The sequence below is a fragment of the Homo sapiens genome, chromosome 2, assembly GCF_000001405.40.
Source record: "Homo sapiens chromosome 2, GRCh38.p14 Primary Assembly".
Lineage (NCBI taxonomy): Eukaryota > Metazoa > Chordata > Mammalia > Primates > Hominidae > Homo > Homo sapiens.
Window position 1 is genome coordinate 9,841,265 of NC_000002.12, and position 16,734 is coordinate 9,857,998.

The window sequence follows — 16,734 nt, forward strand, 5'->3', positions numbered from 1 at the left end:
CCTCAGCCTCCTAAAGTGGTGGGATTACAGGCGTGAGCCACCATGACTGGCCTATTTCTTTCTTAAAAATTTGGTAGAATTTGGCCAGGCGTGGTGGCTCATGCCTGTAACCCCAGTACTTTGGGAGGCCGAGGTGGGCAGGTCAGGAGTTCAAGATCAGCCTGGCCAATATGGTGAAACTCCATCTCTACTAAAAATACAAAACTTAGCCAGGTGTGGTGGTAGGCGCCTGTAGTCCCAGCTATTTAGGAGGCTGAGGCAGGAGAATTGCTTGAACCTGGGAAGCGGAGGTTGCAGTGGGCTGAGATGGTGCCACTGCACTCCAGACTGGGTGAAAGAGCAAGACTGTCTTAAAAAAAAAAATTGGTGGAATTTTCACATTTATTGGCCTAGAGTTGTTCAGAATATGCCCTTATGATCTTTTTAATGTCTGTGGTATTTGCAGTGATGCCCCTACATATTGGTTAGTGATGCCACTGATATCAGTTTATTTTGATTTTCTTTGCTCCGTTGCTCAGACTGGAGCACAGTGGCCCGATTATAGCTCACTGCAGCCTTGAGCTCAAGCAAACCTCCCGTCTCATCCTCCCAAGTAGCTAGGACTGTAGGTGTGCATCACCAAGCTGGGCTCTTTTCTTTTTGATCAATCTTTCCAGAGTTTATCGAATGTATTAGTATTTTCAAAGAGCTAATGTTAGTTGGTTGAGACTCTCTTCTTAAAAAATATCTTTTAGGCTGGGCGTGGTGGCTCACGCCTGTAATCCTAGCACTTTGGGAGGCCGAGGTGGGCAGATCACTTGAGGTCAGGAGTTCGAGATCAGCCCAGCCAACCTGGTGAAACCCCGTCTCTACTAAAAATACAAAAATTCGCCAGGCGTCGTGGCGCGTGCCTATAATCCCAGCTACTTGGGAGGCTGAGGCAGGAGAATTGCTTGAACCTGGGAGGTGGAGGCTGCACTGAGCTGAGATTGAACCATTGTACTCCAGCCTATAGAGATGAGGACTCAATATGTTGGGCAGGCTGGTCTCCAACTCCCGCCCTCCAGCAATCTGCCCGCCTTCGCCTCCCACAGTGATGGGATTACAGGCACCAGCCACCACAGCAAGCCTTTGTGGAGCCTATCGAAGCTTGCTTTCTCTTTTATTAATTTCTCTTTTTTAAACATTTCCTTCATCCCATTATTTTTCAGTTTAATCTTTTTTCTAACTTCTTGGGATGTACGATTATATCAAAAATCCTCTTCTCAATGAGATCTCTCTTGAACATCACATTTCAGACTGAAATCACCTTGTTGTTCCCATTCTCCTCTCCTCTTTATTTTTCTCCTTGGAACTCACCACCACTTAACATACCACATATTTTCCTTATTTATTTTTGTCTCTCCCCATCAGAATACAATCTCCATGAAGGCAAGGACTTTTGTTTACTTTGTTCACTGCTGAATCCCCAGGACACAAACCAGTTCCTGTTTAATAAATAAAACAAGGAATGAATGTGTTAGATGAAGAAACAATAAGAGCTAAATTTATTGAGCACTTACTGAGACTCAATTATATTCACTCATGCATTTATTTATTCAGTTATTTACTTATGCAGAGAAGGGGTCTCGCTTTGTTGCCCCGGCTGGTCTCCAACTCCTGGCCTCAAGCAATCCTCCCGACTCAGCCTCCCCAGGATTACAGGCGTGAACCAGCACGCCCGGTGGAGACTCAATTATAAGGGGCTCACAGATAACATCTAATTCTTACAGAGGAGTAAACTGAGGCACAAGTAAGCAGGAGAGCCGTGATTAGAAACCTAGGTCTAACTCACAGCCCGTGAGCTTTCCTCCAAGCCCCGAGGCTTCCCCTTAAAAAAGCCAGCAAGGGGCGAGACTCGGAGGGCAGAACCCACGGAGGGCGGAACCCACAGAGGACAGAGCCCGCGCTCGCGAGCACGGCCTTGTCCGACCCCCCGTGCCGCCGGAGGAGCAAGTCTGTCTTGGAATGAATGATCGTCGGAACGGAGCTTGATCAAACCACTCAGCAGTAGGCGTCGCCCACTTTCTTATTGGTTGGTTTTGGTTCTCAAGAGTAGGAAAGTTAGGTAGTCCGCGAGGGGTCTGCGAGCTTTGCGGAGCCTCGCCCCCGAGCGCGCGGTTTCCCTGCCGCGCAGGCGCACGGAATCCTAGGCGCGGATCTCGCGTTTCCGGCCGGAAGCTTCTCCAGCCTTTCCCGGAAGCTGCGCTCGCTACCCGGGTAACGGGTCCCGGCTGTGGAAGCTCCCGCGGCGCCGCGATGGACCTCGAGGAGGCGGTAAGGAGGCGGTGCACCTGGCGGGCCACGATCGCCGGGGCCGGAGGAGAGAGAAGCTGAGGAGGAGCGGCGGAGGACGCCGCGGGTTGGGGCGGCGACGCCACCGGCTGGAGGAAGGCGGGGCGGAGGGCTGCAGGGCGGGCTAAGGACTGGGGCTGGCCGGCCGCATGCGCGCGCGGCTTTGGTAAAGAGGCTGGAGTTTCTGGCTCGGCGAGGTTGTGGGGGAGGGAGGGTGTGGTGTTTGTCGTTATGGGTGTGTTTAAGGATGAAGCTGTGGGTTTTGTGGGGTGGCCACCCACAGGGCTCATCCTCGAGACTGGACCACCCACAAGTTCCCTTTAATGCTGGGGTGGGTGAGGGAGGGGCAGGGGTTGGAACCTGAGATGCCGCCGGGTAACCCCTGTCGGTCTCTCCGGGAATCCTTGCCACTGTCTCCAGCAGGGATTCTAAATTCGGGTTTGGGAACTCCCCAAATTGTCCAGCTATCATTCATCGTAGTGTTAGTACGGGGTCACTGAACACTTTACCAAGTTGCCAAAATTGATTTGGCATGCATTTTGTTTTGTTTTAGGTACTACGTAAAATGGCACATTTTTGTTTTTTATTTTTGAGACAAGATCTCACTTCTTCCCCCAGGCTGGAGTACAGTGGCACGATCACGGCTCACTGCAGCCTCGAATCCTGGGCTCGAGAGATCCTTCCGCCTCAGCCTTCCAATGAGCTAGGGCTACAGACATGCACCACCAAGCCCGGCTAATTTTTTTTTTTTTAATTTTTTGTAGGGGCAGGGGTCTCGCTATGTTGTCCAGACTGGTATTGAACTCCTGGGCTCAGGCGATCTTCCTGCCTCAGCCTCGCAAAGTGCTGGGATTATAGGGGTGATCCCCCGCCCTCGGCCAAATGGCACACGCTTTGATGGTATTAAATGATACTCGATAATTAGATCAATGCTAACAACAAGTCAAACTCCAAAGAGTTGGGGATCAGAGAATTAGGCCTGTATATACAGGAGCAGTACGGTCTTATAGTAGAGGCTTAAAAAATGTTTACTGATGATGGTTGGCTAACTTCTGTAAATGCTAGGCTGATGAAATGAATAATTGTAACTCACCATTAGCTAGCGTATACCCAGACTAGGGATCATGTCTGGTCTGTTTTGCTCACCATTGAATCCCCAGCACCTAGTAAAAAGCCTGGTACACACATAGTTGATACCCCTTATGCTGCCGAGTGAATAAATCGAAACTTGAAACCATTACAAATCTAGTTCCTCTGTGGTATGCGCTTTTAGTGTCCTGGAGGAGTTCCAAATTGTATTTGCATTTTTTAAAAGTCTTCTCTATACTTGTTTGTCATCTTCTCACAGTATTTTCAAGGAGCTTTGTTTACTCATCTTTGGTTCCAGTTTACCCCTACTACCTCCTTTTCTTTTTTTTTCCTGTCACACTGCATATTTCAATAAATTTTCTCCAGTAGTTTAATTCGGTTTCATACCGCGCCTCTCCTTGTTTGCGGATAATCTCTCTGACATATTTTTTATTGTCTATGATTTTTTATTAATAAAGTTGCCAGGAACCCATTAAATAGAACTGCAAGGTTTAGGTACGATGTATTGAATGTGGCTTGATGGGAACACCTTTTCTGTCCTCTTCTCCCATAGGAAGAGTTTAAAGAACGCTGTACTCAGTGTGCTGCTGTCTCATGGGGTCTTACTGATGAAGGCAAATATTATTGCACTTCTTGCCACAATGTTACAGAGGTAAGTAACAAATATCATTTATGAATTTGCTTATGTTTTAAAAATTGCCATTTCAGCCTGATATGTAGTCTAAGTCCCAAAGAATTGGGTTGATTTTTGTCACTCATGCAATGCCAACATTCCAAGGATGCATGTGGTCTTAGGTACTTACACATAGGTTAAGGGATTTGTGAATTAGATTGAGGATGAGTTTTTGAAATTATGTTGGGCCACATTTATAAATGATTTCTTATTCAGAGTATGTGGTTGAGGGAAATAATTAAAATTGTACTTAGAAGATGATGCATTTCTTTTTATCAGTTAGTACTTATTTACATTTTTTTAAATGTGTCATGGTGGCTTAGAGGTTTGGAAGATGGAATGTTAGAAAACTTGAGGACTGGGCCGGGCGCAGTGGCTTACGCCTGTAATCCCAGCACTTTGGGAGGCTAAGGCAGGTGGATCACCTGAGGTCGGGAGTTTGAGACCAGTCTGTCCAACAATGGGAAACTCCGTCTCTACTAAAAATACAACAATTAGCCAGGCGTGGTAGCATGCGCCTGTAGTCCCAGCTACTTGAGAGGCTGAGGCAGGAGAATCGCTTGGACCCAGGAGGCGGAGGTTGCAGTGAGACGAGATCACGCCACTGTACTCCAGCCTGGGCAGCAGAGCAAGACTCTGTCTAAAAAAGAGAAAGAAAGCTTGAGGACTGTTGGGAATATTGGAATTATTCTTCGTTATCCTTTTACCTTTGTATAGTACCTTACAGATTACAAAGTTTTTGGATCCATTATCTCATTTCCTCCTCATCACTAACTGTGAGAGCCTATTGATAGGGCTCAGAAGTTGAGTGAGTTTGCCAAAGTTACCCAAGTACCAGGACTTGAATGTGAGTCTTCTGACTTCAGTGTTCATTTTACCCATCACACCTGCCTCTTAAAGTAGAGATTGTCATATTGTCCTGTGTAACCTTGGTAAACGAGGCTACCTTCACATTGTGAGTGCTAGGTCCTATTGTGGTGAACACACCTTCGGGCCAGCATCACCAAAGTGATCAAGGGTGTAGAGAGTCTGCTGCTGGACAGGCTAAATGTGCCAGGACTCTCCTCAGTGGAAAAGGATTTCCTCAAAGTCTACAGATCCAGGAAGGAACAAATGTTACCTTCACCATACAGGCTTAAGAAAGGCAAATTTGGGACATTAAAAGTAACTGTGTAGACTTCTGCTTCTGGCTAAGATGGACTAACAGAGACCAGACTTACCTTTGTCCCCTAAACAATGAAAAACCTGGACAAAATATATTAAATGAGTAAAAGGAAAAACATTTTCCCTTGACAAAACTGGTGAATTGAGCTTGCAGGTGTGTCACACAAGTGCTTTTCCTTGAGGCAGTGTTCTTGAGTCTGCAGCTGGAATGCTTATCTCTGCTTCCTGTTTAGTCATACAGAATATTAAAAAGATATGTGCTCACTTGATGAAATTGTTGGGGTGATGGAGATATTTATTATCTTGATTATAGTGGTGGTTTCATGGAGATATATTTTGTGTGTGTGTCTGTGTGTGTCAGATTGTGCACCTGACAGATGTGCAGTTTGGTCCTCACCCTCATTGTGTAGTAAGGAGCTAGCAGTTTTACTCACTGTTGCTTTTGTACTATAGTGCAGGTGTAAACCCAGTGAAGAAAGATTATGTCTAATGGAGTATTTGCCATTAGTAGATGAAGTCAGCATACTATTTTTATAGGAATTGAACTACATTAACTAATTGCTTTTCTATTTTTGATTTTGATACTGTTTCCGTTTGATTCTGTTTGATCAAATCTGCTGCAGTCATTTTTTAGTTTGAAAGATCCTAATACTTCTCCCTAGCTCCACATTTGGAAGACTGTCAACTCCTGTGGAGTAATTTGTCAAGAATGTAGAGTTCATGAAGGTGGACAACATCTTTATAAAGACCAAGAACCTAGCTCAGTGCCTTCCTTTCAGACGACAGGCTTAAAGGAAAAAAAAGTTACGTGTTGCACAACTTCAGTAGTTATTCTTGGCTTTATGGCGGTCCAGGCATGTTCTTCACATGGACTGTGAGAATATAATGTGGTAGGGGCTCCCTGGAGCTGAGCAGTGTGGCGATGGTGATGTTGAAATACAGTGGGTGGGGAATGGCAGGTGAGACAGTTACAGCTGTGAAGAATGGAAGTCATGGTGCAACTTGCCCTATTTTTCTGCCCCTTTTATTGCCCCCTCTTCCTTGGCATGTAACTGTCAAGCTCCAGACACGCTCTGCAATCTGGGAAAGGCCTTCCAGATTGATAAAGGAACCAAAATGTTATCCTAGTATATTTTATCCAGGAAAAAAAAATGTAAGGTCATAAATCTGTTCAATTTAGACAATAGATATTTTTGCAAGAGTTTCACGGATATTTAAAAAGGTGTAGGCTAGACTTGTGTGAATGTAAGAGATTTTTATGATCATAAGAGCAATGCATGTTTACTATAGAAAATTTGGAAATTGTGAAGATGAAAGCTAAAATCACCAGTAATCTCTACATTTGTCTCTTTTTTCCTGTGTGTGAAATGGAGAAAGGGATGTGTGAGTGCTGTTCAATCTTCTGCCGTAACAACTTGGAAAAATACTTTTATCTAAACATTTGCAGACATTTTTTATAGACTGTAAATATTCCATAATGGCCATTTGGTAATTTAATTAATTATAGCTCTAGTTTTGGATGTTTCATTTTTTCAGGTTTTTTGCTCTTTCACGTTTTGTCTAGTACAGATTTTAAGTCTTTTTTTCCTGGCTACCCTTTGCAAGTTTTACTGTCTTTGCTAGATAATGGCTTTTGTATTTATTTTGACGTGTCTTATGTTTTCAGTGTGGCCAACCCAGTATACCAAAATTGCTTTGAATATGGTTTCTGTGATTAGAGAGACTACGTTCCAAAAATCCTGTTGGTAGAGACATTTCTTTTATTCTTATGGAGGGTTAAAGATAAATTTCATTCCAAATCTCTAAATTTAGAAAAACAGTAATGTCCTCTGTTGGTTAAAAATCCTCACCTTTCTTCTGGCATTAAGACTCAATAATGGGGGCTGGGCACGGTGGCTCATGCCTGTAATCCCAGCACTTTGGGAGACCGAGGTGGGCAGATCACCTGAGGTTGGGAGTTTGAGACCAGCCTGACCAACGTGGAGAAACCTCGTCTCTACTAAAAATACAAAATTAGCCAGGCGTGATGGCGCATGCCTTTAATCCCAGCTGCTCAGGAGGCTGAGGCTGGAGAATTGCTTGAACCTGGGAGGCAAAGGTTGAAGTGAGCAGAGATCGCACCATTGCACTCCAGCCTGGGCGACGAGAGCGAAACTCCCTCTCAAAAAAAAAAAGAAAAAGACTCAATAATGGGAACATTTATTCTACTTTATGGAATAAAGTGTGGCCCCATTTAAAAAAAAAGACTCAACACTTTATTTTTAGTTGTGGGAGAGCCAGAATCTTTGATATTTGCCCTTGAGAGCAGTTAAGATTGAAGACTCTGATATGAATTATACTAACCATTTTAGTCATTCTAAAGTTCTCTAAGTTTGATTAAAAATAAAATGTAATACGTACTTTTATAATTTCAGAAATGAAAGCAGTTTTAGAGTATTATTCAAAGACATGGAAAAGTAGGCCAAAACTAATCTGTCTGTAGTTTAGGCATTACCAGTTACAAAAAATACATAAAACTGTTTTCATACCAAAGTGTATTTTGTGTGGAGAAAAAAGTGAGTAGATGTAACTTTTAGTTTGGCTTGGTTTGTAAAAGTTAAAAAGTGATTTAAAATAAAAGTTATTCATTTAACAAACACTTTATGGTTACTGTATTCCAGGCACTGTTTTAGTTACTGAGAAATTTTGAATGAAAAAACAACATCAACATTAACTAGAATGTTAAATGTTTATAATTTTCCCAAGATTTTACCATCCTTGGTCCTGGCACTCACAATTTGGTTTATTATACTTTCCAGAAAATACCTGGAAAAATGCTTAGGGGGATGTAAAACGATCTTTTTTAATGGTCTTTTTCTCTTTCCTGCAGAGATATCAGGAAGTTACAAACACTGATCTTATTCCTAATACCCAAATAAAAGCCCTCAACCGGGGGCTTAAAAAAAAAAACAATACTGGTAAGTTCTTTCTTCATATGTACTTAACATTCTTTATTCACATCTTTCACCTTCATGATGTCAGGACATGGAATGGAATTTTAAGTAGGTTCTAGAGAAAATGCCAGATTTTATCTACTGGCATACGTTCTTCTATCCTATGTCTGTATTCATTGTGGGTGAATATTATTTCTGGTGCTTTTATAGAAAAAATGCTTATTTTCTGAAATAATTCAACCGTGGAATTGTTAGGTTAGGTGAGTTAAATATGATATTCAACTTCTAGAAATCCATTTCTTGTGTTGAATTTTGAACACACCTTTTTAAAATTGGGAAAATTATTTTCCCTTAAAATGACCTCAACATGAGTGTGCTTTGAAAGGCAAAGTATTTCATTAATCCAGTGAGTACATATAATTAACCATTGTTGAGAAGGATCTTAGGTAAAGTCTAACTGATGGTTTTTATTTTTGTGACTAGGTAGCTAGGACCAAATCCCCAAGTTTGAAACCAGGCTGATGATAATGGGGACTCTTCTACATGAGATAGCTTTAAGGATACACACACATTAAAAAATATATATATATATGTGTGTGTGTGTGTGTGTGTGTGTGTGTTTATGAAATATGTGAAATACACCGACATTCTTAGATGCTAACAGTGACTGCCTAGGTGCTGTCTCATGTTTCTGCTTAGCCTTTAGTAGTGACTTTTTATTAGGCTAAAACCTGATTAACTTTTAAATTTTATTGGAGTAAAACCTGATTAATTTTGCCTTGACCTACTTAAATAGTTAAAATGTGTAGTTTAAACATGCATTTCTTAAGGAACTTCAGGTGCTTTATATTAGGTGTTAAGTATCTTATAGTCAACCTCATCACCCTTAATTTCTTCATTTGTAAAATGAGAATAAAATGCCATCCATTATGGAAAATAGGAACACAGACTCAAAATTTAAAATACAACTTTATCAGTTTCTAAGAACAGTATGCAGGAAGAGGGAGTATATGCATATAGCTTGAAGAGTTTAAACTTCCTCGACTTATGGACCCATCAAAATTATTGGCTTTTGAGACAATTCGAGACCCTTTCTGGGAAGGAATTGGGTTAGTTAGCAGAGGTGGGGAGACTTTGTGACATTCAGGTAAGGGAGAAGAGTTGAAGTCCTCTGGCATTCTGCAGAGAAGAGATCTTGAAGTCAGTAACACACCTCAGAAGCTCTGTGTAAAAAGTACTGATAACAAGCTTTTGGAAGAGTTACAGTATTTGTCCAGCAGTGAGGGGCAAAACATAAGGGTCTTCACAGACTTTTCCTTCAGCTCGTAGTTGTCATTAAACATGTAACTCTGTCTATTGTGGTGGCAGGTTTCTTCACAATCTCTTAGGGTAGTTTTGAGTATTCCAGAAAATAACCCACGTAAGATACCTGGCACACACTTGGCACCTAGGCTGAGATCAGTATTAGTACCTTGCTTTCATTTTCTCCCTATAACCTAGAACCATTTCAGGAAAAGCAGAATGCCATTGAGCAGTTTATTTTCTTTGAATGTTCTTACTGCCCTTTTCTATACTCCGGTATCATGAGATCGTGACATTCGTTCACTCATTCACTAACAGTTCACTGTTCCCTTGTGAGTTGGAACAGAAAAGTGGTGGAAGCAGTGACTTAGTCCTTTCATTTAGGATTCTGCTGGGCATCGTTCATCATTTAGGATTCTGCTGGGCATTGTTCGGGAAAATAGACATTTTTAAAACTCGTTTCACTTTTTTTTAACATGGTGACTATTCATTTTTCTGCCTCTTAGGTTAATATTTCAGAAAAATACAGATAATGGAAAACATTTGAAATCGGAAATTATACAAAATATTTAGTTTCAGCATTTGTGTACACATTGCCAGGTTGGAAACAAGAGAATATAAGAATGGAAGCCCTCTTGAATGGTACAAAAAAATTCAAGATGCTAAGCTGCTAAGTTCTGGGTTAATTGAAAAAAAAAGAAAAATTCAAGTCGCAATGTGTAAAACACAAATTGTAACTGTAGTAGCATTAAAGTTAGTAAATTAGGAATGTATATGCTAAAACATGCTATTTGTCATTTAGAAAAAGGCTGGGATTGGTATGTGTGTGAAGGTTTCCAGTATATTCTTTATCAACAAGCAGAAGCCTTAAAGAACCTTGGAGTAGGCCCAGAGTTAAAGGTAAGTACATTTGTGACTAGATGTTAGCTTTACATATTTTTGTTTAAAGAACAGTAAGACTTATAGTGGAACTAAGGAGAAATCAGTAGTAACACTAGGGCTACTGGAAGAATAATTTTTCTGATGTTTTTGCTTTAATCCTTTTAGTAGGTTAGCAGTTCTGGAAGTGTGTTCTACAGGATGTAAATAAGCAATACATCCAAAAGAAAAATTTAAAGGTTTTAGTCTTCAGATACTTAGGAAACAACAGGTTAAACAAAGTAAAACTCAAATAACTTTGGGGGTTTATTAGTACCTTTTGTGTGTTAATGTGCTTGTTTAATTTCCAGGGAATGTCCTGTGTGTTATTCACAATTTGAGAACAAAATCGTTTGGTGTATGTACATAACGTCCATCAGGACTTGAGTTCCACAGAATGCACTTTGGACAGCGATATGCTAAACCAGTCGTTCACCTGAGTGCATCAGAATCACCTGGAGTGCTTGAAAAAACACCAATCACTGGACCTTAATCCCCGAATTTCTGAGTTAGTATGTCTGGAGTAGAGCCCAAGAATGTGCATTTCTAACAAGTTCTTATGGGACACCCATGCTTCTGGTCTGGGGACCACTCTTTGACTTTGCTGCCTTCCTGGAGCAACACAGTATTTCTGCAATTATTTGAATTTCATATTCCTTCATCTAGTAAAAGTCATTTAAGGAATGCTTTAAAAAGCCAGTTATTTAGCAACAAGTTGTTCACTTGCTTCATATGCTTCATTGGAAACCAAGTGTTGAGAGGTCCAGCCTAGTTGGGGAGAGGGATTTATGCATATGTGAAATGAATAGACATGAATTTATATGGTGATATGCTAAGTGATTTTTTTTTTTAAGAGACGGAGTCTCGCTCTGTTGCCCAGGCTGGAGTGCACTGGCATGATCTTCGCTCACTGCAACCTCCACCTCCCGTGTTCAAGCAATTCTCCTGTCTCAGCCTCCCGAGTAGCTGGGACTACAGGCACACACTGCTATACCCAGCTAATTTTTTCTATTTTAGTATAGATGGGGTTTCACCATGTTGCTCAGCCTGGGCTCAAACTCCTGAGCTCAGGCAATCTGCCCATCTCGGCCTCTCAAAGTGCTAGGATTATAGGCATGAGCCCCAGCACCTGGCCCTCATAAGTGATATTAAAGGCAAAAAAAGAACAGAGAAAGATCAACATGGGCTGCAGTCACCAAGGAAAGATTTGTAGAGGAGCCTTTGCTGTTCAAACTGGTGGTTGGGGCAAGTCCAAACAGAACAACCACGATTTCAGTGCATGGCCTAAATGGATGCTGGGCCTACCCTGAAAGGCGTTAAGAATTAAAAATTCAGAAGCATGAAGCAACAGAGGCTAACCCATAATAGTCATTGCATTAGGTATGATAGCTGATAGTGGGGGGGTTGTGATCTGATTTCTGCTTACATAGTCATTTTATGTATAAATGTTTAGAAACAGTTTTATATAGTTACACTATATAGCTGTAGCAGGGTTTGTTCCTATGTAGCTTTATGCTCACCTCATTAGGGGTTAATTCTGAAAACAATTTTTCTGAAATTAGCCAATGAGCATAACTGTTTAGACCTGATCAGTTGAGTGGCATTATGCCATGTACACAGGCTCCAGAATCAGAACTGACTCCAAATCCTATTGATAGTTTTTCTGCTTAATGGCTGGGTAATCTTGGACAAGTTATTCAGTTTCTTCAATGGTAAAATGAAGCTAATAGCTGTCTTACAATATTGTGTTGGAGCTAAGGGATACCTGGTACCTAGTAGATGACGAATAAATGGAAAAGTCTTTCTGTTTGCTTTTTTTTTTTCTTTTTCAGACAGGGTCTTGCTCTGTCACCCAGACTGGAGTGCAGTGACCTGATCATGGCTCACTGCAGCCCCAACCTCCTAGACTCGAGTAATCCTCCCACCTCAGCCTCCCAAGTATCTGGGACTACAGGCATGTGCCACCATACCTGGCTAACTTTTTGATTTTTTGTAGAGATGAGGTCTCACCATGTTGCCCAGGCTGGTTTCGAACTCCTGGGCTCAAGCAGTTTCTCCTGCCTTGAAGTCTGGGGATTACAGTAGTGAGCCACCGTGCCCAGCCGGAAAAGTTTTTTGTTTAGTTTCACTATCACTTGGGACTGGTTAGTAAACCTGGTAACAGCTTTGCCCCTAACTAAAAGTGTAGTCATGTATCAGTTGCTTTGTACTCTGATCCTTAATTTACTTAATATGCAGAAGAAAAGGACTCAACTCGGTGATTTTAATGTCTTTCTCTATCTAAAATTAAGAAGGATTTTTTCAGCATTTCTCATGTACCTGACACTATGATGATATTATAATTCTTTTTAAGGAAAGGCAGGTAAGAATACATTTAGATGGAAGACTTAACCAGCCCTCCAGGTGATTCTGATGCACACTTAAGCCTGAGAACTACTGGTTCAACATACTAATCCCTAGTGTGCATTTTGTGGAACTCAATGTTCTGATAGATGCTACATACAGACCCCAGAGATTTTGTTCTCAACTTGTGAATACCACATAAAACATTTACTGGAAATTTATATGTAAGTTAATATTTAAAGTACAAGAGAGCTGTGGTGTAGATGTGCCTGTACATTTGTTGTCATAACCTGAATCACCCACCACTCATTTCCCTTCCACCTTAGAACGATGTTTTACATAATTTTTGGAAGCGCTACCTTCAGAAGAGCAAGCAGGCATATTGTAAGAACCCAGTTTATACCACTGGAAGGAAACCTACGGTAAGTCACAAGTCTGAAAAGTTGGATTAAAAAACATGTCTGTTGAGATGTAGAGATGAAGATGGGTTCATGACCAGTTTGAGTATCTGAGATTATGATGCTTGTCAGAGGATTTTCAGTTAAGAGGCTTCTGTTACAGTCTAGAGGACGGGGTCACTGATTTAAACGTTGGAATAAAGTTTTTTCTTCACTTTTTTCCTGCAGTATGGAATTAATTTTGACATCTTATCAGACTAGTTGAAACATAAAGGAATTTGTGGTTGATTTTCTAGATAGAAGATAGTTTCTATCACTGTACTATTAAAATAATTTTTAATTTAATAATGTATTTATTCTGTTTGCTTGGAATACCTACTTACTTTATGTGGCATTTCAAGATTCAGCTCAGTTATCATATCTTCTCAGAAGCCTTTATGTGAAGAAAAATAAAATCTGGGTATTCTCCCATATCCACCAGCTGTTTTTAGCAGTTTCTTTGTAACTGCTTTATAAATGTGCCATGTAACATTTTATTTGGGGTCGAGGATGATTCTACTTCTAAGAAAAGCAAGTTTGATAATTTTTTTTGTTCATTTGTTTGGTTTTTTTTTGAGACGGAGTTTCACTCTTGTTGCCCAGGCTGGAGTGCAATGGCGCCATCTTGGCTCACTGCAACCTCTGCCTTCCTGGTTCAAGCAATTCTTCTGCCTCAGCCTCCTGAGTAGCTGGGATTACAGGCGCCCGCCACCACACCTGGTTCATTTTTGTATTTTTAGTAGAGATGTGGTTTCACCATGTTAGCCAGGCTGATCTTGAGCTCCTGACCGCAGATGATCCATCCTCCTCGGCCTCCCAAAGTGCTGGGATTACAGGCGTGAGCCACTGCGCCCAGCCAGTTGGATAATTTTTGATGTGTGGTACAGATGCCCCTTGCCATGGGGTCACATCCCGATAAACCCATTGTAAGCTGAAACTATCATTAAGTTGAAAATGCAGGCTGAGTGTTAATGACTCATACCTGTAATCCCAACACTTTGAGAGGCTAGGGCAAGAGGATTGCTTGAGCCCAGAAGTTCAAGACCGGCCTGGGTAACATAATGAGACCCCAACTCTACAAAAAATTAAAAAATACGTACTGGGCATGGTGACACATGCCCTATATAGTCCCAGCTACTTGGGAGGCTGAGGTGGGAGGATTGCTTGAGCTTAGGAGGTTGAGGCTGCAGTGAGCTGTGATCACACCACTGCACTCCAGCCTGGGCAACAGAGTGAGACTTGTCTCAAAAAAAAAGAAAATGCATTTAATATACCCAACCTACCGAACATCATAGCTTAGTCTAGCCCACTTTGAACATGCTCAGGACACTTACATTAGACTACAGTTGGGCAAAAGTCATCAAATACAAAACCTATTTTATAATAAAGGGTTGAATATCTCATGTAATTTATTGATTACTTTACTGAAAGTAAAAAACAGTATGGTTGTATGGGTGCTTGAAGTATAGTTTTGACTTTGTGCATATTGCTTGCACCGTAGTAAAGTCAAAACATCACAAGTAAGGGACCATCTATAGTTACTCTTCATATGGCTAGAAGAGATTCTGAATCTGTTTGATACACATTTGTTAAGGGCTTGGGAATTTGGCCCAGTGTTTCCTTGTTTGCTTGGGTTCTCATAGGTTTCACATCCAGAGTTGAGAGACCCAGTACTGAGAAACCCAGGTCTGGGTGAAGAGTAGGTTACAGAGATGAGCAAAAGAGATAACCTCTGAGCTCCTTCAGTATCCTCATGTGATACCAATCCTAAGAATGAGAAGTTTAGAGTAGTCAAGTCGTACGGGATAGTGATGGTTAAATGTTATCCTGGCGGGCAGTTGTGGGGGCCAACCTGAGAAAGCTAACTGAAAAAAAAAAAAGGCAGGGGAATAACCTGAGGGGTTCGTTTGGAGAATGTTTTAAAATATGAGATAATGAATTTAAATAAACTCAAGAGAAATAACTTGAATTTACTAGAAAAGATAATATTTTATAATCATAGAACTATGAAACATTATACTGTCTTGATACATGAGAGAGATACTTCCCAAGAAAATCGGAAGATGCTATATGGTTCTAAGGTAACACTTTGAAAAAGAAAGGAAAGAATTGCCTAAACTACTAAGAACCTGATCTTTAAAATTTCATATCTAAGGTATTTGTTGATTGTATTTATGCCCTGGGAGTTTGCCTAACACATAGAAAATATGCATCAGAACCTGGGATTCTCTGACATTTAAATATTTTTGGGTTAACTTAAGTTTTTTTTAAAAAAAGGTTTTTCTAGAGTTGAGTAAATTCTCGTGTAAAGCAATATTAGCATCACGCTAAAATCTTGGTGAATAAATAAGCAATAAGTAAAATATTAAGCTGATGTATGAATTAGTAAGGTAATTTCTACTTCAAGAGTACAGCTATACTCTATTTTGAAAGGAAATGGAAACAATTACTTTTAATTAGAAGCATAGTTTTCTCAAGTATATCCATTAAATATTTCCTTAGTGCTTTGGAGATAACTGTTTTGAGAACAGTAAGAGGCCTGGTCCCTGCTTTTGAGCTGTATTATCTTGGGTGAGGTAAATTACTGAAAATGTGCAGAAGAAGCAAATTAACAAGCAAATATAGAGAGGGGGACACTGGGGAAGGGTGCTATTTAATAAAAGGTGGTCATGGAGGCCCTTGCTGATGTGGGAGCTGAAGTGATGAAGAAAGTGAGAGAGTAAACCATGGGATATCTAGGGCAAGAAATGCAGAATTTCAGGTCTTACCAAGACCAGTTGAATGCAGATACGCATTTTAAGAAGTCCGTAGATGCTTCCTATACACAGTACACTAAAGTTTGAGAAGCACTGGTGTAGATGAGAAGTGATGGTGGCTGGTACCAGGTGGTAGAACTGGAGGTGATAAGTGATAGGATTCTATATAAAGTCTGAAGATAGAGCCAACAGAACTTCCTGACGGATTGGATGTGAGAGAAAGAGAGGAATAGGAGTCAATGATGACTCTAAGGATTTTGACCTAAGCAGCTGGAAGGAAAGAGTTGCCATCAGCTGAAGGGTAAGTGGGCCAGGAAGGTCAGTGGTTCCATTTTGGACATGTTAAGTTTGAGACAGCTGTTAGCATCTATTAGTCCATTTTCACACTGCTATAAAAATACTACCTGAGACAGGGCAATTTCTAAACAAAAGAAGTTTAATTAACTCAGTTTTACATGGTTGGGGAGGCCCTAGAAAACATGTAATCATGGCCGAAGGAGAGGGGAAGTAAGGCATGTCTTACATGGCAGCAGGAGAGACAGAGAGAGTGCGTGCGTGTGAGCAAGCCCATGCAGGGGGAAACTGCCACTTTAAAAACCATCATATTGCATGAGAACTCCCTCGCTATCATGAGAACAGCATGGGGGAAGCCACCCCCATGATCCAGTCACCTCTCACCAGGTCCCTCTCGCAACATGTGGGGATTACAATTCGAGATGAGAGATTTGGATGGGGACAGAGCCAAACCATATCATTCCACCCCTGCCCCCTGCCAAATCTCATGTCCTTCTCACATTGCAAAATCA

General features: G+C 41.1%; 1 protein-coding gene across 5 annotated transcripts in view, besides 1 other annotated feature; it reads left to right on the top strand.

The window, feature by feature from the left end:
- Positions 1–2,177: 2,177 nt before the first annotated feature.
- Positions 2,178–16,734, top strand: part of TAF1B (TATA-box binding protein associated factor, RNA polymerase I subunit B) — a 90,975-nt gene continuing 76,418 nt past the window's right edge. Inside the window, 6 exon segments of one of the 5 annotated variants that reach the window (NM_001318976.1) lie at positions 2,178–2,295; positions 3,956–4,054; positions 4,793–4,922; positions 8,109–8,196; positions 10,277–10,374; positions 13,062–13,157. Coding sequence is in view for 2 of the 5 variants with exons in the window: in NM_005680.3 (NP_005671.3) it covers positions 2,278–2,295; positions 3,956–4,054; positions 8,109–8,196; positions 10,277–10,374; positions 13,062–13,157 (399 nt within the window). In the remaining 3 variants the exon portion in view is untranslated. 5 annotated transcript variants of the gene reach the window in all.
- Positions 2,491–2,570: a silencer, noted in NCBI's record as "silent region_11144". NCBI's record gives its function as "represses an Ori minimal core promoter by ATAC-STARR-seq in GM12878 lymphoblastoid cells {active_cell/tissue: GM12878}" and the evidence as "EXISTENCE:reporter gene assay evidence [ECO:0000049][PMID:35858748]".